The sequence below is a fragment of the Homo sapiens genome, chromosome 2, assembly GCF_000001405.40.
Source record: "Homo sapiens chromosome 2, GRCh38.p14 Primary Assembly".
NCBI classification, from domain to species: domain Eukaryota; kingdom Metazoa; phylum Chordata; class Mammalia; order Primates; family Hominidae; genus Homo; species Homo sapiens.
Window position 1 is genome coordinate 181,890,639 of NC_000002.12, and position 26,633 is coordinate 181,917,271.

Below are 26,633 nucleotides of genomic sequence, written 5' to 3' on the forward strand. Positions count from 1 at the left end.
AGGCAGGAAAATCAGTGTGCTATTTTAGTAGTCTATGACTTATGTGTAAATGCCTGGACAAAAACTAGGCACTATTTCATCTCCAGAGCATTCTTCATTCCAAATTCTCCAAAAGTTATGGTTTCCTGTAGCTATCAATGACAATGCACTTAATTACCTTGTAATTCGAATGCTTCCATTAGGAATTTTACTATGCTCTGGATTTTAATTTCAAATGAAAAATAATTCCTTCCTTAAAATATTTTGTCTACGCAAAATATTCTTTTCAATCACGTTAAGATTTTAAAAAGTGTTCTAACTTGTTCTTCAGAGCATAGCCAAGTACAATAAAATATTGGAAGCCTTACTTATATGTATAGTTCAGATGTAACATTTAGGGGAACAATGCTGCTTGATAGGTCTGTCACATTGTGTCTGGTTTTGGATAGAATTTGAGTATTTTTGCTAATGAGAATTTAAACATAACAAAACGGAATGCCAAAGCTGGCTTTAAAAAGTTTTGAACCCTGACATCATTTGTTTCTTGTATCATGCTGTCTCACCAAAATCCAAGCAACTATCTCCACATTGTCCCAATTGTTTCCTCTATTCTCCCTCACCAAAGTCCAACTTCAATGTGAAATTTCCAGATTAAATATCCTTTCACAATTCATTTTCATTCATAACATAAACACGATAAATAACTTTAAGTATGAAAGTAGCACTCCAGGAAGCTTAGTCTTTTGCAGTTTTTACATTTTGGCAACACCAATCAAGCACCTCTTTCCGTCCTTACCCCAATTCCTTGGACACTAAAGAGTCTATATTCAGGCGACTCTTTCAAGTGTATGTTTCAGGGTGCCCAAGCAGACACTTGTTTTCTCGCGGGGGATGTTTTGTGAGACTTGGCCTCCCCACTTACGTTCTATTTTTAGGTGAGGGAGGAGGAGGAGGAGAGGAGGAAAGATTATTAACAAACTAATCTTGCCCATTCCGCGGGCAGTAGTCGGGGGCTGGCCTGCTCCGCGTCGCGCCGGGCGCGCCCCGCCCTACCGCGCCCCGCGCGGCCCCGGCCGGAAGGGGGCGTGGGCCGCCGCCGAGGGAAGGCGCGCAGACGCGCAGCGGCCGGCCTGCTCCGGGCGCGTCAGGCAGGGGGTGGGGAGCAGGGGCCGGGCGGGCGCTCGGCTCCCAGCCGCGCTCCCTCGGGCCACTAGCGCTCCCGCGCGCGCCCGGCCGCCTTCATGTGAAGCGCCGGCCCTCCGCCCCTTCCCTCCCCTTCCTTCCCTCCCTCCCTCCCTGTCCCCTCCTCCTCCTCCTCCTCCTCCGGCGCCCGCTTCAGCTCCCCGGGGCCCCCTGCCCGGCCGGGCGCTGACAGCAAGGGCGGGGGTCCCTGCCGCCGCCTTGTCTCGCGCAGGGTCCGGCTGGGGTAGCGGAGCCCCCAGTGCGGCCATGGACCGGCCCCTGTCGTCGTCGGCGGAGGCGGAGGAGGAACTGGAGTGGCAAGTGGCGAGTCGCAGGAGGAAGGCCTGGGCCAAGTGCCGCAGCTCCTGGCAAGCGTCGGAGACGGAGGATCTGTCCACAGAAGCGACGACGCAGGACGAGGAGGAGGACGAGGAGGAGGACCTCCCCGGCGCGCAGCTGCCGGCAGCGGGGGGAAGAGGTCGGTGCTCCCGGCCGGGCTCCGGGGGGAGGCTGGTGGGCTGGGGAGAGTCTCGTGCGCCCTGGGCGCCTGCCACGAGTTCTGGGAGAGCCTCGGGCACGGTAGGCCGAGGGGAGAGGGGACACTTCCGACCTTCAAACGCGCGCGCTGAACGAGGCGCCCCCAGCGTCAACACAGACAACTGGGTGCCATCCGATTTCCCTGCCAAGGGACACTGAGACGTGTCGCTTAGGCTGCATTTGCCGTGGTAGATTTTCCTACTTGGGAGGGTCCAGGGTGACTCCGCCGTCGTAGTGCTCCTGGGTGGTAACGTGCTGTCCCCTCTCTCTACCCCCAGGAAACGTGCCCAACGAGAAGATCGCGATATGGCTCAAGGACTGCCGGTGAGTGCTCCCTGGTCCGCCCGCGTCCCGGGGGAGATCCGTGCGGACGGGACGCCGGAGCAGAGCCACTCGGGCCGCGTCCCTGTGGGTCCCGCGACCGTTGTAAGCTACAAACCGGAAAGTGAGCCGGCGGATAGCTTCCTCCTCTAAGCGATTAGAAATGGAAGTGCTGTGACCGCTGATTATTTGGTGACCGTGTTGACTTTACAGTTAGGACTTGAGCTACTCACGCATCGTGTTAGCATCAGAGATCAGAAATCCAGAACAGATAATCATGCCATATTTGTTCTGTTTTTATTTGAAAGAATTCTCACATCTCGAACAGGATATTTTGTTTTGCTTTAGTTTTGGCATCTGTACAACTGGCACGGAATCATTTTCCTTTCAAATGTGTTTTAGACGAGTTTAATTTACCTAACTACACTAAATGGGCTTTAATTTTGTTTCTGTTTGGGGAGCTATTAAAACTAGCTAACTTTGTACTTATAGTTTACTTCTTGAACATGGAATTGTCAGATGGCACTGGAATTCTCAGGGAATAGAACTTTTAAAAGCATTCAGACTGCATAAATCTGTTTAATTACATGCTTTGGCAACTGGTACAAAAATGTTTGATAAAATACAGAGGAGATGAATCATGTTGCACGTAAATCTGACTACAGCAAAATGTACTTGTTTCTTATTCCACTTTGCTAGTTGTAAAATCAGGAATGTAGCCTTTAAACTTTTGTTGGTGTTTGCTTTCGAGCATATTTTTGCTTTCTCAATTTAGATTTTCTTAATATTTTGTTCAAATATTAGAGTTAGGGTAGTTTGTTTTGTTTTGTTGTGGAAAGTGATTCATATGCCAGTTTGCCTCCTCTAAAGACAGACAAGATATTGGCTACCATGATATTAATGCCTTGTTTTGATGAATCGACTGGAACCTTATTGAACACTCTTTATTACAGAACTCGTACCCTTTATTGGAAGTGTCATAGACCCTTCTGAAATATGATGACATATATGGAATAACTTCTGTTTAAAGATGCACAGAGGCAAATACACTGCTTGAAGTCCTTGGACCCCAGATTTACAATCTAGCTGTAAATCAATCTCCCAGTTTTCAGATAAGCCTTAGATATTAGATACTTCACTCAAAGTATGGATCAAGAAATTGTATTAATGTGCTATTGGTTCATTTAATTGTTAAATACTAAAATAGTCTATAATGTAAAAGCTTGAAATTTTGAATGTACATGTTCAAGACCTTTTGGGTGAGATCTGATAAAACTAGTATCTTTCAGGTTTCCACTTAGAAATGTGTTTGAGAAGTTGTTTTGTAACTTTTACTTAAGTCCTTTAAAGCCTCCAATCTGACTCTTTATTTAAATACAGTCCTAAGTACAGTATTGGCTTACTTTAGGTTTCTTAAAATAGGCTTAGCATTACAAATACATTTATAATGTTTTATTGTTTAAATTCAAGTGCATATTCAAAAGAATTTTAAAAATTAAGAACAAGAGAAGAATCACACTATAGTTTAATGACATATAGGATTTAAGATTGTATAAGAGATCCTATCAATTAGACAGTAAATAAGTGCATCTTTTTTGAGACAAATGCAGTAGGCAAATGTTGACATTCACCAGGGCACAGTCAATCCCTGACAATTTCAGAAGTTTTGTTGCCAATACTGATTTATGTGGGCAGATTCTGTAGTCTGCTGCTCCTTCTCTCATGGATTACCTTCTTGTTCCTACAGTTGCACCTATTCTACACAAGAGTGGCATTCATTTGTATCCAGGAAAGCTAGAACAAGTAGTCTTTTAATCTTGGCTATATTATCACAGATTCGACTTAGGATATGTTGCATCTGTATTTTTGTTTTAAATAACAACTCAAGTTCCTTCTCAGAGTTGGGCATCTATGTATTTTGTTTATTATGTACAAATGACCTGAAGACAGCATTTTACCCACTTGATAAGTTCTCAAATAGTCTTTGTTTCTTAGTGCCGTCCATATCCTGAATAAAGATACCGTGTTTTCTTTCCTTAAAGGGAGTCTTTATTTTGATAACCATTTGTGGGGGGACTAAGTAAAAACTGCTTGAATTAACATTTAAGAAATGGTAGAGATTTTGATAGAATTTGGAAGGGAGCAACTATAAAAGTAAGATATTTGTTTTCGAAGGAGGATTCCTGTTACTCTGCTTATCTACCATTTTCTGTTAGTGCATAGACCAGTAGAGACATCTGTGGACAGAGTAATACAATGTTTACATCCAAGAAAGTAGCCATCAGGGAAGGATGACTTTTTAAAGACATACATTAGAATTTTATTAAAATATATGCAAAAAATAGATTAAAGCTTTTATTAATATATTTATGGTAATTGCTTGTGATTCTTTTACGTTTCAAAAGCACTAAGTTTTAAAGAGCTGCCATTGTTAGTATACTTGTAGAAAGTTTTAACCTTTAATTGGCATTTCAGTAACATTTCCTTGAAACTGATATTTTCATGATTGATCCCATGTCTCGTGAATTTTTAACAGCTATAAATTGTTACTGAAGAAAGGTGTGCATCACAAAACAGACCCTCCAATATAAAACAATGTGTTTCTTACTATAACTTGGTTTCAGAGAATTAAAAGTGTTTATTTTTGTATTTGAAAAAAAGATATTTCTCTCATCTGTATTTGAACTACAAGAATGAAAAAATTTTAGCAATGGCTAATCTTAATGTTGATTCTCAAGTCAACTTTTTAGTAATTTTCAAAGTTAAATGAAGAATATATATATTTTTTAGCTTAAAAACAAAGCGAATCTCAAGCTTCTACATTTACATAAAAAGATAGTTGTTGGGGCAAGGGGGAGGCATTAGGTGATGCTCTGAAATGCTAGTGATAGATTAACAGATGAGGTTTAAGGAAACTATTGGGCCTCATTTCCAACTACTCTTCACTTTTTAATTTTATTAAGGTTAAGTTACCTATGACTGAAGATTTGTTTTCTTCTAATTCTGTTTTCTTTTTTGATGGAAGGGGTTGAGAAGAACAGACATTTTCTTAATGCTTATTGTCAGTCATTCTCTCTTTTTTGCAAAGAAAAATGCCAATTCAAATCATTTGTCATTGCCATTTTTGCCCCTAATTGTTAGCACATCAGACATGATTAAATCATTCCTGCTGAACTGACCTGATGGCAGGTATTTGCTTAGTTAGTGAATATTACTTATGTAATCTACTTGCATTCCTTGTGTGTTTTTGGAGGAGAGTTTAACTGTGATTAGAAGCTTATTGAGCTGTAACTCTTTAAGTAAGGCTGTGTAATGACAACTTTCCAAATAGCCTTTCACAAGACTAAGGCTTATACGTTTATATGGTTTCAGTACACCTTTGGGAGCCTCACTGGATGAACAAAGCAGTAGTACACTCAAGGGTAAGAGAAGGTTGCCTTTCTAAATCTGTTCTTTATGACAGTTCTACTTCTTTGTCCTCTGGGTAAAAGTGTATATATGACTTATAAAAGTGATATTCATGTTTATAGTATATGCTATTCTGAGCTAGAAGCAAAATGGAGAAACTTTGTTATAAACCGTAAAACAGTAGGGAGTTTAAGCAAATTGCCTAGCCTTTTCACAACGTGAAACTTATATCTTTATTGTCCAGTTAGGTATTATAAAGACTAATTAAATATGAATATATAATATGCAAATATAAGGAAAATACTTATTGAGTGAACAAAAGTTTAGTCAACTTTCGTGCAGCATTTCTTTGCTTACATTTACTGAAATTGCCACACCTAAAATTTTACCACCTGTTCAAGACAGAATTCTAAAGTTCAAAGTACAACAAGCATGTGCAGGCAGTGGCAAGGCATATAAAAAAACATTTACAGTGTCAGGAAAATCCAGCTCCTGACTTAATATGAGATGGATAAGAAGAATATTTGCTCCAGGATCTGGTTTTCCATGAAACTCTTGGTATGTAGTCTGATTGAACATCTTCAAAAATATAAGTTTAAAACAGCCTATAGGTTGGCTTCTGAGAACTTTATGTTGCTGGAAAAGTGGTTTCTTTACGTTAAAGTAAAAGCTTATACCTGCTTCTTGAAGTTATATAATCAGAATAATGTCTGAGTACATTCAAGTCTGAAAGATTTTACTGTATAAGATATTTTGCTGGGTGAATTTAACTAAAACAGTGATTTTATATGAGGGTGGAGAGGAACAGAACACCAGGATGAGTTTTCAAATGTGTCTTTCAGGTGTGCTTGTGAGAAATGGAGGAAGTTTTGAAGATGATTTGTCATTGGGAGCTGAAGGTATGTTTGTTTGGAAGAACTGTATTTTTGTGTAGTTTTCAAATTTAAAAAAAATGAGAAAGCTGAATGGTTTCAGGTTTATGATCCTCAAGCTAAATTTAAAGGTCTTGAAAATGGCTCAGGCATATTTTACATTACCTTTCTTTGTTAATAATCTAGTCATAGTCTGTAGGATACATGTAGGGATGACTCTGAAAAACTATGTGAAGTGTCCATCTGTCTTTCTTGGACTAAATGCTTAAAGGAACAGTTTGTAACAAACCGTGGTAATATAACTGAGGGAAGAATTGTCCTGAAAAAGGAAGGACACTTAAATATTTATACATGGGAAAACAAAATTGAAGCTTATTTTTAGCGCAAAATAGACTTATGTCATACTTACAGCTGCAGCTTGTCTTTCTCTTTGCATTTAAGTGTCTCCTGTCTTTTCCCCATTTTCCTGATTTTTAGAAAATTAAAGGGGAAAGACAAAATAGCAGAGCTAATAGAATTTTATTAGAAATCATGCTGGTGTTTATTCCAGAAAGCATTAGATTTTAAAAAGTGTGTTGTGCTATTTAAAAGTTTTTACAAGTTATGTAATGTTTTCCAGTAGATTTATAATAAAGCTTTCTTGTACAAAAAATAAGAATTTTTAATTATTTTACTGGTGTTTTAAAAGCTATTTTATAGCTCATTGATCAAATTGCATAGATTATTCATAGCTGTATAGCTCAGTTATTAATGTGTACTTTTTTAAAAAAAACAAGGATTTTTAAAAAGTCTTTAAAGCTTACAAGTTGGTGAATAGTGAATTTATACATTGAATTTAATATTCTTGATTTTTTCCTGTTTCAAATGCATCTGTAAAGTAAATTACTTATTTAGAACCTTCTAACATTTAAAACTCTGGAATATGCAAATATATTAGTTCTTATTATTTCTGTTCATATATTTTCAAGCTCTATAAAGAGCTTAAACTTACTGATTCCCACTCAGTACAATTGAACATGTTGTCAATCCGTTATTAAAATGCACTTTGCACTTTTGATATTTGCCTTGGTAGTTTGATAATATTGAATGATTTTATTGGAAACCAGAACCTAAAAAGGAGTCTCATGAAAGAGTAAATCTATTATGTTGTTTTACTGAAAATTATTTCAAGGCTATTTCCATTCATTAAGTAAATAATTACTGAGTGCTGTGAGTTAGGCACCTTTCTGGTGGATGTACAAAGAAACACAAAATTGTCATAACTTTGTAGATCAGAAATGAAAAGCAATTCATGTGTGCTGAAATAGATGTGTTTATAATTAATTTTATTCTTTGTATTTGTCTATAAATTTAACTTTAAACATTAACACTTACCTGTTTAGAACTTTAAGCTAAAGTTCTATCATAAAGTTGAAAGGCAATTTTTAAAAGAAAGTTTATATTGAAATAAGTAGAAATTTTCATGTTATATGTGTGAAAAATCAGTTATAACCTTAAAAAAAATTCACATTAGAAACTGACATATACTATTGCCACACTTAATGTTAAATCATGTTTTCCTCTTAAGATATTATTCATTAATAGCTTTTAAATTTAATAATTAGTACCACATATATGGTACATATCTTCCTCATTACTTATTTCTAACCTGTTAAAGAAATTTAACTGGTTCCCTATACGTTTTTTTATTTTAAGCACTCAAGTGAGAGTAGTTAGTTTCATGTTGCCACAACACAAAAACACCCTTCAAAAGCTCCTGGCCCTGTTCTTATCTATCTGTATATCACTTTTAATAATGCAGATTTAATGGACCAAGATAAGTGTTTAATATATTTGGCATTTAATTCTAATATTGTAGGTAATTAGATTTCTTGATAATTGTATCATAGTAGTTATAGTCCTACTAACAATTGTGCTCTACGTTTATTGTTTTTACCTGTAGCCAACCACCTCCATGAAAGTGATGCTCAAATTGAAAACTGGTATGTAGCTGTTTTGTTCTATTTCTTTTAAAAAATGAAGACCTTTAATGAAAATAAAGTTATAAAGTTTTATATAATCTGATTTTGTTCGTAGCAATAATATCTTGGCCAAAGAGAGAAGATTACAGTTTCATCAGAAAGGGAGAAGTATGAATTCCACTGGATCTGGGAAAAGTAGTGGGACAGTTTCAAGGTAACTTATTCTGAAATTGTGTTGGAATTACATTGTGCTATAGATGACCTACTCTTATCATTTTTTCAATCTTGGATTTGACCTTGATCATATGAAATCAGAAAGAACACAAAAAGAGCGTTTCCTGTACCAGCACAACTGATAGGAGCTTTTTGTTTTGTTTTGTTTTGTTTTGTTTTACTTTGAGATTAAATAAAATGCAATAAATAGGCTTATACTGCTGCTGGAACCCATAAATGAGTATTTTGAGCCCTCTCAACAGCCTGAAAGAGGAACTCCATAGCGGAGTAACTTGTAGTTGTAGAGAACCAAAATTCATTGTTAAGGACTTGAGTTAACTCTGACACAAAAATCAGAATAAATTTTTCTAAGTTACAGCTTGATATTTAAGCATACTTTTTTTCAACACATTAAACCAAAGATCTTTCAAATATATAGTATAGCCAGGCCCAGTGGCTGACACCGGTAATCCCAGTGCTTTGGAGTGTCAAAGTGGGTGGATTACTTGAGCTTAGGAATTCAAGACCAGCCTGAGCAATATGGGGAAACGGCGAAACCCTGTCTTTACAAAAAATGCAAAAATTAGCTGGGTATGGTGGGATCCACCTGTAGTCACAACCACTTGGAAGGCTGAAGTGGTACCCAGGAGGTTGAGGCTGCAGTGAGCTATAATTGTGCCACTCCATTTCAACTTGGCTGACAGAGTGAGACGCTGTCTCAAAAAAGCCAAACAGAAAAATACCCTTGCCCCTCTCCCGCCCGCACATATAGTATATTAAAATACATCAGTGCATGTGCCTATGGAATCCAGTTTAAACTGTTATCCAAATTATAATATTAGAATCTGAGCATTTTGTCTGAAACAAATTGAAATGTCTCTCTGTTGAAGTTCCATCTCTAACTTTCCTGTTTTCTTCAGTGAGTCTTAGAAAGCTTGGATTATCACTGGTATGAGAGAGAAGGGATACTAAATATTTAATTCCCAATAGGATTAGAGTAGTTACCTTTGTGTAACCCACACTCTCTGTACCTTACTCCTCCTACTTCCTGAGTGGAAGTGGTTGGAGAGAAGTTGAAAGTAAGCTCCTCCCTCGCTTCTCTGAAATCAGCTTGTTATCTTTATTGTTCCTCCTAGGACAATTGCCACTCCTAGGACAAGGATAACAGAAAAGCTCAAATTTCACAAAATGTCCCTCAGTTCCTTTTAATTTCTGCTTTAATCTGTTCATTCCTTATTCTTCATCATCTGTCTTCTACTTGTTTTAGCTGCTTTACAGGGAATCTCTTAAAATGACAAAACAAATAAGGTGAGGAATCACGTAGGGAATCTCTGACTGTGTTCGTTGGGGTTAGCTCTTTTCTGCAACTCTAGCAACTTGAGACAATGAACCCTTTATAAGGGCTATTTATTCCCCAGTACACATGTGTAAACATGGTAAAATAAATAATGGTTTCCAGAGCAGAAGCTGAGAAAAAAGATTTTATCACAGGAAATCAGTAATATGTATTCATTTATAATGTGGTGTGGACTATCAATTTATTTTATATTTTCATGTTTCCTTTTTTGCCCCCTTTTTTTGTAGTGTTTCAGAATTGTTGGAACTTTATGAGGAAGATCCTGAAGAAATTCTTTATAATCTTGGATTTGGACGTGATGAACCAGATATTGCTTCTAAAATTCCTTCCAGATTTTTTAATTCATCATCCTTTGCCAAAGGGATAGATATTAAAGTATTTTTGAGTGCTCAGATGCAACGGATGGAAGTAGAAAACCCAAATTATGCTTTAACAAGTAAGATTTTTAAGTGTTAGGCATATTATTTTCTTAAATTATAGCATCTACAGCAAGATGGTCTTATTTTAAAGCCTTAATTTTCAGGAATAGCACTGGAAAGTAAAGAGATTGATTAACGCAAAAGCCATTTTTACATGTTAAAATTAAGCTATTTTATTACTCCATTTATAGTGGTTAATTTGCCTATTTTTCCCCTCCTCCCCAATTCCTGACTTAAGTGCTACCATAACTTATTTGCAGAACCTTATTGTTGTCTACAGATTGCTTTTATTCAAGAAGAAAAGAAGTAGGAGAGGAGCCTTGTTAATCTTAAATGAAGTCAGTCTGTTTCAGGAACTAGTCTGGCTAATTTGATCAGTTTCACTCATATCTTTGCTTGTTTTCTTTCTGTTAGCCAAAGATTCCAAAAATAGGATTCCAATCCTGCATTGTTCATGGATCAGTTTTAAGAGATCAATAAATCCCTCACCCTGCAAATTAGGTATAAAATATATGCTTACATGCATTTTCTTAGGAGAATTTTGAAAGAGTCTTAATGGAGTTCAAGACTTCAGAATAGAATCACAACTGTAGATTCAATAGCTAGTTCTTTCTGTTTTATTCAATGTTGCCATTATGCTTTGTGCTTATTTCTGATTTTTTAAAAATACAAATTCTAGTGCTTAGAGTAAAAATCTTGCTCCTTCCCACCCAGTGAATGTAGAGAAGGTTTAAGTGTTAGATGAGGAAAAAATAGGGTTTTATAATCTTTGTGATCTAAGTGTAGTTTTTGGAATTCTAAACAATAATATGCATTTAATATATGTGTATGTATATATATAAATATAAACATATCATTAATATTGTTTCTTTTGGTAGGCCGTTTTCGTCAAATTGAAGTGCTTACTACTGTGGCCAATGCGTTTTCTTCTTTATATTCTCAAGTCTCCGGGACGCCCCTGCAGAGAATTGGAAGTATGTCCTCAGTGACCTCTAACAAGGAGACAGACCCACCTCCACCTTTAACTCGAAGTAACACTGCAAATCGTTTAATGAAAACACTCTCAAAACTGAATTTATGTGTTGATAAAACAGAGAAAGGAGAAAGTAGTAGTCCTTCTCCATCAGCTGAAAAAGGAAAGATTCTAAATGTTTCAGTGATTGAAGAAAGTGGCAATAAAAACGATCAAAAGTCTCAAAAAATTATGAAGAAGAAAGAGTCATCTTCTATGTTGGCTACAGTTAAAGAAGAAGTCTCTGGTAGTTCAGCAGCTGTTACGGAGAATGCTGATAGTGATAGAATTTCTGATGAAGCAAATAGTAATTTTAACCAAGGAACTGAAAATGAACAAAGTAAAGAAACTCAAAGTCATGAGAGTAAACTGGGTGAGGAATCTGGTATTGTAGAATCCAAATTAGATAGTGATTTCAACATATCCAGCCACAGTGAGCTGGAAAATAGCAGTGAGCTGAAAAGTGTCCATATATCCACACCTGAAAAAGAGCCTTGTGCACCACTGACAATACCATCCATAAGAAATATAATGACACAGCAGAAGGACTCCTTCGAAATGGAAGAGGTAGGTAAAAAATTACTGAGACTGGTTTCAAGTTGCAGACTAGGAAAAAAAGTACCAAAAATGCTTATAAAATGAGAGGTAGCTAATAGATTTATACTAGAAAAATTTATTCTAATTTTGACTTTCCAGGTTTATGTTTCACAAACCAAGAATTGGTCTCAGGATAATGTGATGTCGAGGTAATGGGACAGTTCAGTAACTCCTCCAGATCTTTATCCACTAGTTGATATTTGAACCTTAACCCTCTTTTCTCTCTCAAGGGTAAGATTTTGATGCTCAAGAAAGCCCTGAGAGAGTATATTTAAATTCAAAGCAATATTGCATAATAGTTAGAAACACAGGCTTTGAAATCAAACAGGGCTTTGAGTTTTGTCTGCCACTGAATGACTGTATGCCTTTGGGCAAGCTTTTCTTAACATATCTCAGTGGTAAGGATATGTGAAGGCGGCTTTGGGGATAGTTCTTGTTATATGACTGGAAAGAACATGAAGATATTACGTACCTGCATGGGGAGGATAGGGACCCTAGAATTAGCAGGTTTGAAAGGCCACTGAATAGGGTTTCTGCAAGCCCAAAAGACCAATGTTTGGTTACTTGTTATTTGTGTCCAGTAATATACCTGATAGTTAACATAAATTTTTAATTGGAAAAGATAAAAGATACTTATTTTGAATGAGGTTCAGCTAAAACTGCTTCTGAATAGTAGGAGCTGAATAGCTTGGGGCAGGAAAACTGATTTTACCAAGCATCTACCCTGTGCTGGGCACTGTTCTTGGCTCTTGAAGTACTTCATTGCAGTCTGTGAGGCACATGGTAGTGGTCTCATTTTATACATGAGGAAACTGAGGCATATGTATGCTAATGAAGAGTTGTGGCTATAAATTATATAATGCGCAATTTGTCTTTTGTAATTTATTACATTAGATGCGTTTTAGTAATAGTTCACAGTAGTTTTAACATCACACACCATTATTTTAGGGAATTAGAAAATGAAATAATTGATTCAGCTCATAAATGTCCTCTTAGGTGAGTGTCTCTCTCTCTTGCTCCCTCCCTCCCTCCCTCAGATTAGTGAAGATTTTTCATTTATTGTAAAATTTCAGTTGCTGATACAGATTTTTGCCTTTTTGTGGTCTGTTAATACTTTAATTACAACTGAATAGTGAAATAAAAAGGGAGTAGGAGCAGCACCTTGGAATATTTTACATTTTGAGCTTTTTTTCTTTTATTTCTTTGTATATGTTTATATTTCTTCTATCTTTTTACCTCCTGGTATAATTTATTTCTCATCGTAATGAGTATGGAAGATGACTGTGATGACTACATTAAAACCTCTGTTTGTTCTTTTTCACTCTGATAACTTTTTGACTTTGTTTTGGTCTAAACTTGTTCCAGCACTCATAATTAAAGTGTAAATTTTTGCCTACCATTAGGGCCCTCTTCTATGACAATTAGATATGGCAGTTAATTTCCTTGTTTAATACAATAGCAGAGCATAAAGATCTAAACAAATTATGTTAGGTAATTGCAAATCTGATATTGGCGACTCCGAGTGAACAACACTCATATTTTCAAGTAAGTCACTCTTCAAAGAAGTCAAGGAAGTTTATTTTTAATTTCTAAAATTCCTGAATTCTAAGCTGTAGTTTTTAAAATTTTTTAAGATGCCATACACAAAAGGTTTTTTAAACACTTATAAAGTGCTAGATGTACTTTTGTGGCAAGTTAACCTTTAATGATAGTCTGGGGGTTTTTTGCCCCCTCTACTGGCAAAAAAGGTTAATGAAGAAAGCAATGTAGCATTGACGTGAACATTTTTTTGAAGTACAAGATTACATGCATTGGTGGAAGAATAATGGGAGATTTTTTTTTTAAATGAATTTATGGTCGACCACAGCTACATTGTAAATATGGGGAATTTTAAAGAAAATAATGTATCTTCAGATATATTTAAAATATGGATAAAAACCTCCTGGAAGTGTGTTTTCATCCCTAAGGGAACATTAAAGAGAGCTTGTAGAACAATGGATAAAGGAAATAATGTGTTAACTTTAATTTCCTCTTCTCCCAAACACTTGAATCATATTGACAAATGAAGAGAACAATCTTATTGAAACTGACTTTTAGATCCTATTCAGTGTAGTTTGTTGCTATTTTTCTTTTGGACCTCTTTCCATGAGGTTTGATTCTTGCTGGGAATTTTCTTCTTGTGAAAACCATGAGTAAATATAAGTTAGAGCTCCCTCTGTCTCAGTAAATCAGTTCTCAGAAACATTATCTGAGCATGAGCTGCTTTAGGAAGCTAGGAAGGAGAAAATGTTGCAGATATGTTGACTGCATGAAGCTGCCTAATCCATCTGAGACAAGAGGTAAGATCCAACAGTCACCAGAAGCAAAGAGACAAAATACTTAAATGTAAAGAGAGCTAAATAGATGATGAGACTGCTCCTGGCCTGGTACAATGAAGTGTCTGTTTCTTATGTTAGAAAAGGAAAAGGCCAGAGACTTTCAGTTAAAAGTCAACTTGCCTTATAAAGTGTCTTGTAGACTGTTTAAAATAGTTATGAATGTTTATAACGATGTTTTTTCTTTTTTTTTTTTTTTTGAGACGGAGTCGCGCATTGTCACCCGGGAGTGCAGTGGTGCAATCTTGGCTAACTGCAACGTCTGCCTCCTGGGTTCATGTAATTCTCCTGCCTCAGCTTCCTGAGTAGCTGGGATTACAGGCACATACCACCACAGCCAGCTAATTTTTTGTATTTTTAGTAGAGATGGGGTTTCACTACGTTGGCCAGGCTGGTCTCAAACTCCTGACCTCGTGATCTGACCACCTCGGCCTCCCAAAATGCTGGGATTACAGGTGTGAGCCACCACACCCAGCCTATAACTATTTATAAAAAGTTATTAAATCCTGTTCTTGAATTTCTAATTATTCCAAATGACTTGCTTCATTAATTCTTGTGTTCTTCTTGAATGGCTTATTTTGAATACGTCATGGTAACTCTCTGAAGCCATAGATTAGTAGTGTGAATGATTCACAAGTTAAACCAAAATGATCCTTCTCAAGCAGATGTTCATCTTTTAGATGTAAAGGAAAAACTTAAGAAGGAGAACTTTTATCTCAGCATTTCTGTAAGAAGTTGACTGTGTGGTCTTCTTGACCTTTAAATGAATTTTTATTTAAATATAACCATTATTGGATATACACATAATCTTTTTTAAGCTACTGATGTGTTAGTAACTGTTTCTAATCCTGTCTTCATACTAATTATTGATTTAACTAATGTACTTGACTTCTCATTTTTAGCTGTTAAGTTTTAGGATTTTTCTATGTTTATTGGTCTGAGTTAAAATAATCCCACATCAGTCAGATATTTGACAGATAATTAAGTTGTTCCTTTGGCCTTTTAAATGTAACTGTGTATGTTTTGAAGATAAGCCTGCCCTGGAATATGAACTCTAACATATGACATGCACAGATATCTGCTACTCTAAAGCCCAATTAACCACTGTTTTGTTATTTGATATTTACCTAAAAGACCTTAGTCAATTTTTATTGAAAATTTACCTGACAGTAAAAATAAATGATATTTTTGTGTGTATGTGTAAAACTCGATAGTATTTGTTTAAGATAAACATTTGCAAGTAATTTATAGAATCATAAACTAGTACGGAAAGAGATACTTTATTCATTTTCTAGTTTCTTCCCTTTACAAATGAGGAAGCATCCCCTCCCTCATTTGATATTGTTTTATAGCAGTGGTTCTTCACCATCTTTCTGAGGGCTATAATATTCCTTTTGATATCAGTGCTTCACAGGGGGAAGGAGCACAGCGGGTGTCAGTGGAGGATGGCAGAGGAGGATCTCCTGTTGTACATTCTTACTACTTTACTGTTTGAAAGTACTTTGACTTACAGTTACATTTGATCACCCCAAGGACCTATGAGGTAGAAATTTTAATTTTAATTTTGCTGTTAATTTTAATTTTGAGGCTGAGCATGGTGATTCACACCTGTAATCCCAGCACTGTGTGGAGGCTGAGGCAGGAGGATCACTTGAGCCCAGAAGTTAGAGACCAGCCTGGACAACATAGCATGACTTGTCTCTACAAATAGTTTTAAAATTAGCCGTGCATGGTGGTGCATGTCTGTAGTCCCACTTCTCCAAAGGCTGAGGTGGGAGAATCACTTGAGCCCAGGCAGTTGAGGCTGCAGTGAGCCATGATTCCACCACTGCACTCCAGCCTGGGCAACAGAACGAGACCTTGTTTCAAAAAAATGAAATAAAAAAAAAAAATACGGATATTTATCGCAGATAATTGTCAGAGGCCGTTAGCCAGTAAGTGGCATGAATAAGACTTGAATTCACGTTACTTGTGACTATACTATACAACTTGGTGAAGGTCAGATATGTTGGTATGGTCAGGCATTGTACAAGAACTAATCATCTGATGCACAGCACCATGCTACTACTTTGGAAAAAGAATGATTTCCTCTGACATTTTTTTGAGCTGTCATTAAAAATTAGACAGAATTGTAATTTCTAAAGCTCTAGTTTTGATTTTCTTTGAAAACCATTTTGATATACAATGTTTATTCAATGATGACAGCTATACAGTCTCTTTTTAAACTTTAGAGGAAGGGTTATTTGAGTTAGAACATCCATGTATTGCTGTCCTGTGCAATACAATACAGTAGTATTGTGCCTAGAAGATCCCTCTTAGTCAAGGTAAACATGACAGCTGTTAAGAAACCAAAGTGGTTCACTGAAACAAAAAGTACATTTTTTAAACAAGAGAAAGAAACCAAAGTGAGTGCCTGTCATTTTAGCAGAACATTGATTTAGAAAGATACAGTCATTGTTTCATGAAAACTTTTTTAAATGAAGTAACCCAAATGTGTGGGTTATTCTAAAGCTGTTTTTCATCTTTGAATCCCAAAACATTGAGACCATGCAATTTTATCACTTTGGTTTAGTGGTTTTTTTTTTTTTTTATATTATGAAACAGTTTTGTTATGAAAAGTTTCAAACTTACTTGAAGATTAGAGAAAATAATATCATGAACACCCATTACTCATCATTCTAATTCAGTTTTATTTGGCTATTCTTGTTAATTATGAAAGGCTGCTTATAGCAAATGACCAGAATTCTACGGAGCATTTGAAACCACTGAATAGGGAAAATCTTGTCACATAAATCTAAATTCTGTGTTCTATATTTGCTTCATAATTCTCTGTGGTGTACCCCATCTCAAATTTGACTGCCGCCTTTTGCACAATTGTGACCAATAATAAAATAAGAAATTCACCCATTATCACTAGCATGTATGTTTCTCTCTTCAGCAAGTGGGTACTCTGATTTTGCTGAGTAAACAAGAAGAATCCCAACTTTAGTTTTATTAGTAAAATGTGACTGTCTCAGCTTTTTGAAGTGCTCCTTTCTTGCACTTAATTATGGAGTTTGTAGTAAAAGGAGAGAGTAGATTTGTTTTTGCCATTGAGTAGCATCTTGAAGAATAGAATGCTGATGATATGTGTTTATTAAAGTCATGTTATTTTGTGATTAATTTCATAAGTCTAAGGAAATAGAATATGTGATAATTCTGTGTTTAAAGGTGAGCAGCCGGGTGCGGCGGCTCACACCTTTAATCCCAGCACTTGGAAGGCTGTGGCAGGTGGATCGCTTGAGCCCAGGAGTTTGAGACCCCAGCCTGGGCAACATGGTGAAACCCCATCTCTACCAAAAATACAAAAATTACCCAGTCTCATAACCCAGTCTCAAAATAAATAAATAGATTAAATTTAAAAAAAACATGACAGTGAGAGATTTGGTATATTAATGCTGTGCCTGAGCCAGTATTCCTAGAACATAAATGCAGAGGCATTGGAATTCTGCTATAATTTTTTGATCTGGTTGATATTTACTTTACAGAAAGATACTTGAAGTAGACCGAGCCTGAATAGAAGCTAATAATAGACATTTTATTGAATATAAAAAGAAAACGCACATTGTTCCCTTGCATACAAGACAATGGTTTTCCTGTTGAACATGTATCTGCTGCTTTGAAGAATTATTCTAATTTTAACAAGATAACAAAGAATAGTAGAATCTATTTTTATATATCTGATCTACAGGTGATGGTTTTGCATGAGTAGTGTGCTTTCAGTTTTCAAAAGATTCATAAACTTCGGTTCCTGGAGCTATGTAGAGCAAAGAAATCACAAATTAGAGCAAATTTTAAATTGGGTAATACTATCTTTAACCTTTGGGCTTTTAAAAATGTTGGTTATTTCACTCTTATTCCTTTGGAATATTTCTTATTCTTGAATAGCTTCATAACTAAAAACTACCAGAGTTTTCCCTAAAATGTGTTAACTATTAGCGCTTTGATTTTTTTTTTCAAGGTTGAAAACCCATATGTTCAGCTAGGTACCACACTTTACTAGGATGTTCTTTATGATTTAAGAACCAATCATTACAGAGTAAAGTGACAGAAATTACCGTGCATCTTGCCCATTCCCTATGTATTTAATGTTGACATAGAGTTAATTATGTTAGAATAGACAGAGTGTTTGTGGGGTGGAGGTGGTGATTTAGGAATCTGAAAATTTCTAAATTATGTACTTGTGCAGATAGAAAAATAAACACAAAAAGACAACTAAGTTTGATATGTTCTTTGAACAGTGTTTTCAGGGAAGATTTATGGTTAATATCTTTCATTATTTTAGTTCTGTAATGAAACCTGCTTTTCCACATACAGCTCCCAAGTTATGTCTTGAAAGAATTTCAGGACAAAGCAGTCTTAAACCTGAGCAATTTTTGATACCTGAAAGTTTGGGGGAGTTTAGAAATTCTGCAGTGGTAGCACTGTGTTCTATTTTCAAAGATGCGAGACTTATAATTACCTCAACTGTGTGTTGGTCATAATGTGCTGTAGTGAGTGTATTAGTGTTTCTCCTGGGATTTACCCTACTTTGAAGTTTAACGTATAGAGAACTTTTCCTTATGGATCTGTTTTTCATATAATAGCAACATTTTTTTTGAATGAAGCAGTTATTAAAATTTATTCAAGGTTGAAAACCCATATGTTGGGCTAGTTTGCACACTTGACTACGATGTTCTTTACTATTTAAGAACTAACCGTTACAGGGTAAAATGATGGAAGCTAGTGCACGTCTGATGCACTAATTTCCATCAGTTATTTTTCTTTGCTACAAACTTGAGTGCTGTTGTTAACTGGAAAATAGATCAGAAAATTTAGTTGTGGAGCATTCTAATAATTTTGAGGTCAGATTTCTTAAAGTTTGAATATATATATAATGTTTTGGTGCACTTGAGTTAGGTTGATTTGTTTAATAGATATTTATTCAAGAAGTTATACTTGTTTGCCTTAGATTCATTTGGTTTTAACTACTTAAAACTCTTCTTAAGGTTCAAAGTACGGAGGGAGAAGCTCCTCATGTTCCAGCCACTTACCAGCTAGGTCTTACGAAGTCGAAAAGAGGTAAGTGGACCAGTATCCACTAGTTCTGAGCACATTATCAAATATTAGTTGATTTGGAAAAGGGGTTTTATGTATCAGTATTTGTAGTATTTATGAGTGTGAAAAGGCAAAGAACACACACAGGTAGGCATGATTCACTATTGTTTGTAGAACTTTTTTTGTATTTTTTAAAAGACTTTTTAAAAATTAGTTTGCTAATTAGTTTGCTTATTCTGGAATGACCTCATTACACAATTGTGTGTGCTCTAAGTATTTTACACTATTGCATAAGAGCTAGTTGGGAAGTGATAGAGCAATGGATTAAGACTACCTTTTACATTGTTATGACTGAAAAATATACTGGTATTATCTATCTTTGGTGTTTCACTATATAAATATAGCTCCTAGGTATAACACATGAATATTCCTCTAGCAAAACCCACCAATTTTTTAGCAATAGTTAAAGCTAGTTAAATTCAAACTATGGGTCGAAGGTGAGTGGTTGTAGATACTGTTCCTCTCTTAAATTATTAATTATTGACCAAAGAACCTTTGAATCCATCCCTTTCACTTTTAACTTGCAACAACAACAACAACAAAAATGTGTGATCTTTGGATTTACAAAACTTTTGAGCTTTAGAGAAAGGGAAAGAGGAAGAAGTGAAAATGACCACTGAAGGTAGGACTGTTTATTTTTGAAACTTTACACATGCTGAACCACCCTGTTTTTTTTTTAAACAAAGATTCGTATGTATGTTCCTAGAATAGGAAATTACATGTTTGTTGTCTCCTGATCTCTGAAATTACTTCACAGGAGACAATTTGCATAAATTTTTTTCTTTTATTGCAATATGGTATTAAGAAACAAGAGCTTCACTCTCACTCGGTCACTGCAGCTCTGGTTAGACTCAAAATTGAACTTTACTATTTAATTTTCTTCCCCTTGTAAGTTCATAAATTTATGTATGTGTTTCTGAGCTGAGTTCATGGTCATCAAGAAGTGTTTGCTTTAGATAGGTAGACAGGGGATACATTGGAAAAAGCAGCTTGCCATGCATTAAAAGGAGGATAAGAAAACAATAAAATTACTTTAAGGTGTTTTAAGAGCAAGATCCCTGTAGTAGGAATGATTAGATGTGGTTTATATTCATATCTGGGTTTTTTCCTTTTCTTAGTCAGATTTTTATAAAGTAACAGTAAAATGGTTCTGTGTGTCTGTGTGCATGAGAGAGAAGAGAGAACAACATAGTTTTCATCATCTTGAAAAGTATCCTATATCCTATGTAAGTATCTTAGATTGATCATAACTGTAGAGTTAGAAACACTCGTAATATATTTACTTCAAAAGTTTAGGAAAAATGCATATAGCAGTTTGATAATAGGACTTTTGAAATCAAAATTATCTTAATCTCAAATCCAGTCCAAGATTTACATACTGAAGCCCAGAGAGGTTTAGTGACTTAATGTTTGTTACAAGTTAGCATTCGGTAGTTATGTTGAGAAAAGTTCAACATTTTTCTTATTAAAGAAGACATACAATATTTTCTTTAGTCTAGGAGAGAATAGATAGACAGTTGTTTGGTTTCTTTATGATGATACTAGACAAAGTTTCCAGATTTTTTTCTCACTTTAATGTTTCCTCTAACTTCCTAGTTTTTAATTAGAAATCATATATTGTATCTTTAGGACAGAGATCTAATCCTTTTTTATAGTTCCATCTTTTTCTGTTGAGAACTGTGTTTTTGGAAACAGAAGTGTCTGACTAAAGAACCTAGATTGTGATTTATGGTTTACAAAATAGTTTCCCCTACATTCTACTTAGTTTCTGAAGTAGCCCTGTGAGATAGATAGAAGAATTATTATTATCTCGTTTTGCAGAGGAGAGAAGCTATATTGCTTATGACGAGAAACACAGCAAGAACTTGAACCCAGGCCTCCTTGTTTTACCCATTGCCCCAAACCTGCTCTGAAGTCTGAGCAGTCTACCTGCATTATGACCCAAACTGTGTACTTAGACAGGGCTTAGCAACTGTGAGGTGAACTTGGCAGACTGTACTCTCTTGCAGATAAAACATACCTTAGCAGAGAGAACCAGTCAGAGCTGCTCACTCTGTCTTCCCTGCACTCAGGCACCTGCCCTTGCCTAGCCAGATAGACAGTTTCACTTCTAAATCGTTTAAATGACTGCATTATTCTTTTGTTGCTTTAAGGAAATGGGTATCATTGATTGAGGTCAGCAAACATTTATTCTCAGCTTATTCTAGGTACTGGGATACAAAGAAGAATAGTTTCTGCCTTCAAAAGGCTCACAATCTAGTTTAAAGATATGAAAATACGTAATTATAGTGATAACTGCTATAGCATAAGATGTTAATCATTTTACCAAGAATATAATGCCTTATCAGTACTGGTGGTAACAGCTTATTGCAGTTCAGTTTCACAAGTATTCCAATTTACGTAGGCTTATCAAGGATATGGAATAATTCCTTATATTTCATTTTGCAGTCTTGTTACTATCAAAATGATATTACAAAATTATTCTAAATTTTTAATGGGAAAAATGTATTCCATGGAAACTGAGTCTATAGTGGGGTATTTTTCAAACCAAGTTGACTTTAATAGATTTTAAATTTTATTTAATTATATTATCTGGCTCTTTTTCTATGTGGTTCATATCTTAAATGAATATGGTTTTGGTAAACACACTTTATTTAGCCTTTTGCTTTTGAAGTTCTGCAGAACTTTGCTGTCTCTTGAAGCTTCTGCCTTGATGAATGTAAGAACTGTACAGTCTCTCCCATTGTGGTAGTTGTAGTGTGGATAGAATGTGAACATACTTGCTATGCTTAGTTGGCCTTTTTACTTATGTAAAACATTATAGATCATACTAACCAGGAATTAGAATTTTGAGGCAGAAAAATAAGCAGAAAGATTTTATAAGATTAACAATATTATGTTGTAGTTGAACCTATTTGGTTGAGTTTTATGTAATTTTTATGAAAGAATTGTTTCATACCTTATACATTTGCATCATTTAAAACATCATAAAACACCAGAGACATTTAAGTATGCTTGCATTTCAGATTATTTAATTTACTGGCCTTAATTGTATTTATTTATTTATTTATTTTTTTTGAGACGGAGTCTTGCTCTGTCGCCCAGGCTGGAGTGCAGTGGCACAATCTTGGCTCACTGCAACCTCCACCTCCCAGGTTTACTCCATTCTCCTGCCTCAGCCTCTCGAGTAGCTGGGACTACAGGCACCCGCTACCACGCCTGGCTAATTTTTTGTATTTTTAGTACAGACGGGCTTTTACCGTGTTAGCCAGGATGGTCTCGATCTCCTAACCTCGTGATCCGCCCGCCTCAGCCTCCCAAAGTGCTGGGATTACAGGCATGAGCCACCGCGCCCAGCCCTAACTGTGTTTTTTAAATTGGGAAGATAATAGAAATCTTTACACACTATGCTCTCTATATGAACTTCTAAATTTACCTCCTAAATATCTTTACATATTTACATAATGGAAATGGTTTACTTTGGGACTTCTGTTTTTATTAGAGCCATCTTTTACTTCAGTTTTCCTCCAAGGATAAAACATTGATTGGATTTACCAAAATAGATTATAATTAGAGCTTAATTAATGAGCGAATACCGAGAGATTCTAATAGAAGATCTGATACAGTTTTTGTTTGAATTTGAGTTACCTCCTGTACTTTGAAGACATAATTTTGCATAAGTAATGCATATTTTTCTAAGAAGCAGTCAAATATTGTGTATCTTATATCTGCTGGGAATCATATCTCTGTAGTAATATTGCTCTCAGTAATTTCTTATAGCCACTTTTTTTATTTATAGATCATCTGTTTCTTATAGCCACATTTTTTTATTCATAGATCATCTGTTACGTACTGCAAGTCAGCATTCCGATAGCAGTGGTTTTGCTGAAGATTCTACAGACTGCCTATCCCTTAATCATCTTCAGGTAAAATTTTCTGTTCTAATAGGCACTATGATTAACTTCCTCATTTTAAGGTGGTTTTTGTATTACTATATATTTTAATATTGAGTCTGTATAATCTTTATTTTTCAAGTGACAGAACAAAACTCCTGGCATGTAGATGTTATCTAAGCATTTGACTATAAATTTTAGATTTCATTAATTCTTCTCTCTGAATATGTTTTTAAAAATATCTATCTTCCCCTTAATTTTTGGACCACCAGTAAACAGAGATTATTGTGATCATTAACCTGTTTTGTCTGTTGTTTTTCTTATTTTTTTAACCATCATTATATTTCATTATTTTACAGTAATTGTTTTGCCTATTTAATAACTGACATTAATTGTGGACCTATAGCTTGCTGAGTGTTATACTGATTTTTACACTAGGTTGTGTGAGATAACCCAGAGAACAGGCACATCTTTATCCCCAAGAAGCATATAGTCTATATGTAGAGTACACAGAATGCACAGAAAAAGCATTTGAAACATTTTTTAAGCAAATTCTAAAGAAAATTGGGATGAGAAAACTCCCAAAGAGCCTTTAGGAACATAGCATTTAAGGGGTAAACAGACAAGAGGCATATGTAAGTTCACTGAGAAAGAGTAATTAAGTGAACAGAAACACTGGGAGATGGAGGAGAAACTTTCAGAAGGTATGGAAGAAAAGATAGGAATGTTGACTGGTTTTCAAATATGAATGATAGCTTAAGAGTGAGGGGTCTTTTTGTCCTTTTATAATAACATGAAATGACTTGGGGAAAGTGTTCAGCTAAGGGAAATAACCGTAAGAGAAGAACTGATTCAGAAAAATCCGGGCTGAAACTGGAGAGATACCCTGGTCTTGGAGAGGATATGATCAGGAACCCAGGTTGGAGGGATTCGCTTTGAGTTTCCTTTCAGAATGGAGAGAAGGAGGGAATGATGGGGAGAGATACAAGGAAGTTTTTAGATGTTGGGGAAGAATGTTAGGAAGTGTTTGTCCATTTTCTCTATGAGTCAGTGTGTTGTATTGAAAGGAAAGGGGGAGGTTGTTGGAAAGGGAATTTTAGGAAAACAGTGAAGTTCTGAAATAATCTTTGTGAGAAAGTGAGAGGAAGGAGGGATGTGGTTGCTGCTCAGGAGCAATAAAACAATTTTGAGCAACAGCAGGGCCACAACTGCAGTGGAGACAGTGAAATTATAGAAGCACCATGTTGGTTTGGTATTTTGTTAGTGACTCTTCTTACATATATTCTTCATCTTTCCACCTATTTTCTTTTCACAGGTTCAGGAGTCCTTGCAGGCTATGGGGAGTAGTGCTGATAGTTGTGACAGTGAGACAACAGTTACGTCACTTGGTGAAGACCTTGCCACACCAACAGCACAAGACCAGCCTTATTTTAATGAATCAGAGGAGGAGTCTCTTGTCCCTCTTCAGAAGGGACTAGAGAAGGCAGCAGCAGTTGCAGACAAAAGAAAATCAGGTAGCCAGGATTTCCCTCAGTGCAACACCATTGAGAATACAGGAACTAAACAGTCCACCTGTAGTCCAGGGGATCATATCATTGAAATTACTGAAGTGGAAGAGGATTTGTTTCCAGCAGAGACAGTAGAGCTACTGAGGGAAGCAAGTGCTGAAAGTGATGTGGGTAAAAGCAGTGAAAGTGAATTTACTCAGTATACCACACACCATATTCTGAAATCATTGGCTTCTATTGAAGCTAAATGCAGTGATATGAGCTCTGAAAATACAACTGGGCCTCCCTCTTCCATGGACAGAGTTAATACAGCTTTGCAAAGAGCTCAAATGAAGGTTTGCAGTCTGTCTAATCAAAGGATGGGGCGTAGCCTGCTAAAATCAAAAGATTTGTTAAAACAAAGGTACTTATTTGCAAAAGCTGGCTATCCTCTAAGAAGGTCTCAGTCTTTACCAACCACCTTATTGAGCCCAGTAAGGGTTGTGTCCTCTGTCAATGTTCGATTATCTCCAGGAAAAGAGACCAGATGCAGCCCACCTTCCTTCACCTATAAGTACACACCTGAAGAGGAGCAGGAATTGGAAAAGCGGGTGATGGAACATGATGGTCAGTCTTTAGTTAAATCGACCATTTTCATCTCTCCATCATCTGTGAAGAAAGAAGAAGCCCCCCAGAGTGAGGCGCCGCGGGTGGAGGAATGCCATCATGGAAGGACTCCTACCTGTTCACGGCTTGCTCCACCACCAATGTCTCAGTCTACCTGTTCCCTTCATTCCATCCACTCTGAGTGGCAAGAAAGGCCCCTGTGTGAGCACACAAGAACTCTGAGCACTCACAGTGTTCCCAACATATCAGGGGCTACTTGTAGTGCCTTCGCTTCCCCTTTCGGGTGTCCTTACTCACATAGACATGCCACCTACCCTTACCGAGTGTGCTCTGTGAATCCTCCTTCAGCCATAGAAATGCAGTTGCGAAGAGTATTACATGATATTAGAAACTCACTGCAGAATCTTTCACAGGTATGAGAAAAAGTATGTTATCATTAGCTTTTTTCTTTTACTGCTCTGAGCACTTTTTAATTCACAGAGAAGCTAAGGCACATCAAGTATGAACTACCTCAGCTTTATTTTCTGACATGTCTAAACTTAATCTGCATCTGCCTTCGTTTTCTATCTTCCCTCCTGTTTCAAGGGAGAAGCTGTAACTAACCCTGATCAAAGTCGATTTCTCTGCTCACAAGTCTGTCTCCTTTCCAAGAGGAGAGATTTTTCTCGTTAAGTATCCTCCCATTTTTAGTCTATCATCCACTGTCTTTGTTTTAGTCTAGAATCTTTTGTCATTTCTATTATTAAAAAATCTTCCCTCTTAAAGTTCTTTCTCTCTTTCTCTCTGCTATTTGAACATGTTGACTACCTTTTCCTTTTCCAAGTTTTCTCCCTGTTGGCTTCTGTGGCACCACGTTCTCCTGGTTCTGCTCGTAGCTCTCTGACTAAGCTTTCCCCTTCACCTACTGACCCTCGATGCTGTGCACAGAGTTAGTCTACTTCCACTGGACTCAAAGACTGGAACTACTCCAGACCAGAAAATAACAAATCAGGTAAAGTGTGAATTTGATTTAAAATGCTCTGTATGTCTTGTCACTTTTAAAGTCATTCTCAGATTTGTTAGTAGACTGGAAATAATTTTCCCAAAAAAATTTTGAAAATAAGTACGTTGTCTTCAGTTTTGCCTTTTACATTTTCTTGAACATTCTCTCTGAATGAATCATGTTTAGACAATTGAGGGATTGAAGAAAATGACAATGTAATATAGTCATGAGAGCATTCAACAAAGAGTCAGGAGGCCTAGAATGAATGTAATAGA

General features: G+C 36.3%; 1 protein-coding gene across 15 annotated transcripts in view, besides 2 other annotated features; it reads left to right on the top strand.

Moving 5' to 3' along the window:
• Positions 969-1,298: a silencer, noted in NCBI's record as "silent region_12159". NCBI's record gives its function as "represses an Ori minimal core promoter by ATAC-STARR-seq in GM12878 lymphoblastoid cells {active_cell/tissue: GM12878}" and the evidence as "EXISTENCE:reporter gene assay evidence [ECO:0000049][PMID:35858748]".
• The window catches only part of ITPRID2 (ITPR interacting domain containing 2), a 39,009-nt gene continuing 13,467 nt past the window's right edge, over positions 1,092-26,633 (top strand). For 7 of the 15 annotated variants that reach the window (XR_923000.4, NM_001130445.3, NM_006751.7 and 4 more), the window contains exons 1-11: positions 1,092-1,639; positions 1,977-2,022; positions 5,392-5,441; positions 6,270-6,326; positions 8,242-8,281; positions 8,376-8,474; positions 10,058-10,266; positions 11,128-11,828; positions 19,261-19,333; positions 23,207-23,295; positions 24,578-25,789. Coding sequence is in view for 13 of the 15 variants with exons in the window: in NM_001130445.3 (NP_001123917.1) it covers positions 1,429-1,639; positions 1,977-2,022; positions 5,392-5,441; positions 6,270-6,326; positions 8,242-8,281; positions 8,376-8,474; positions 10,058-10,266; positions 11,128-11,828; positions 19,261-19,333; positions 23,207-23,295; positions 24,578-25,789 (2,787 nt within the window). In the remaining 2 variants the exon portion in view is untranslated. Of the gene's footprint in view, positions 1,640-1,976; positions 4,061-5,391; positions 5,442-5,913; positions 5,986-6,269; positions 6,327-8,241; positions 8,282-8,375; positions 8,475-10,057; positions 10,267-11,127; positions 11,829-19,260; positions 19,334-19,360; positions 19,992-20,509; positions 20,596-23,206; positions 23,296-24,577; positions 26,368-26,633 lie in introns of those variants that run through there. The other 8 variants (XM_047445598.1, XM_011511701.4, NR_109843.2 and 5 more) reach the window with 8 other exon arrangements.
• Positions 1,589-1,728: a silencer, noted in NCBI's record as "silent region_12160". NCBI's record gives its function as "represses an Ori minimal core promoter by ATAC-STARR-seq in GM12878 lymphoblastoid cells {active_cell/tissue: GM12878}" and the evidence as "EXISTENCE:reporter gene assay evidence [ECO:0000049][PMID:35858748]".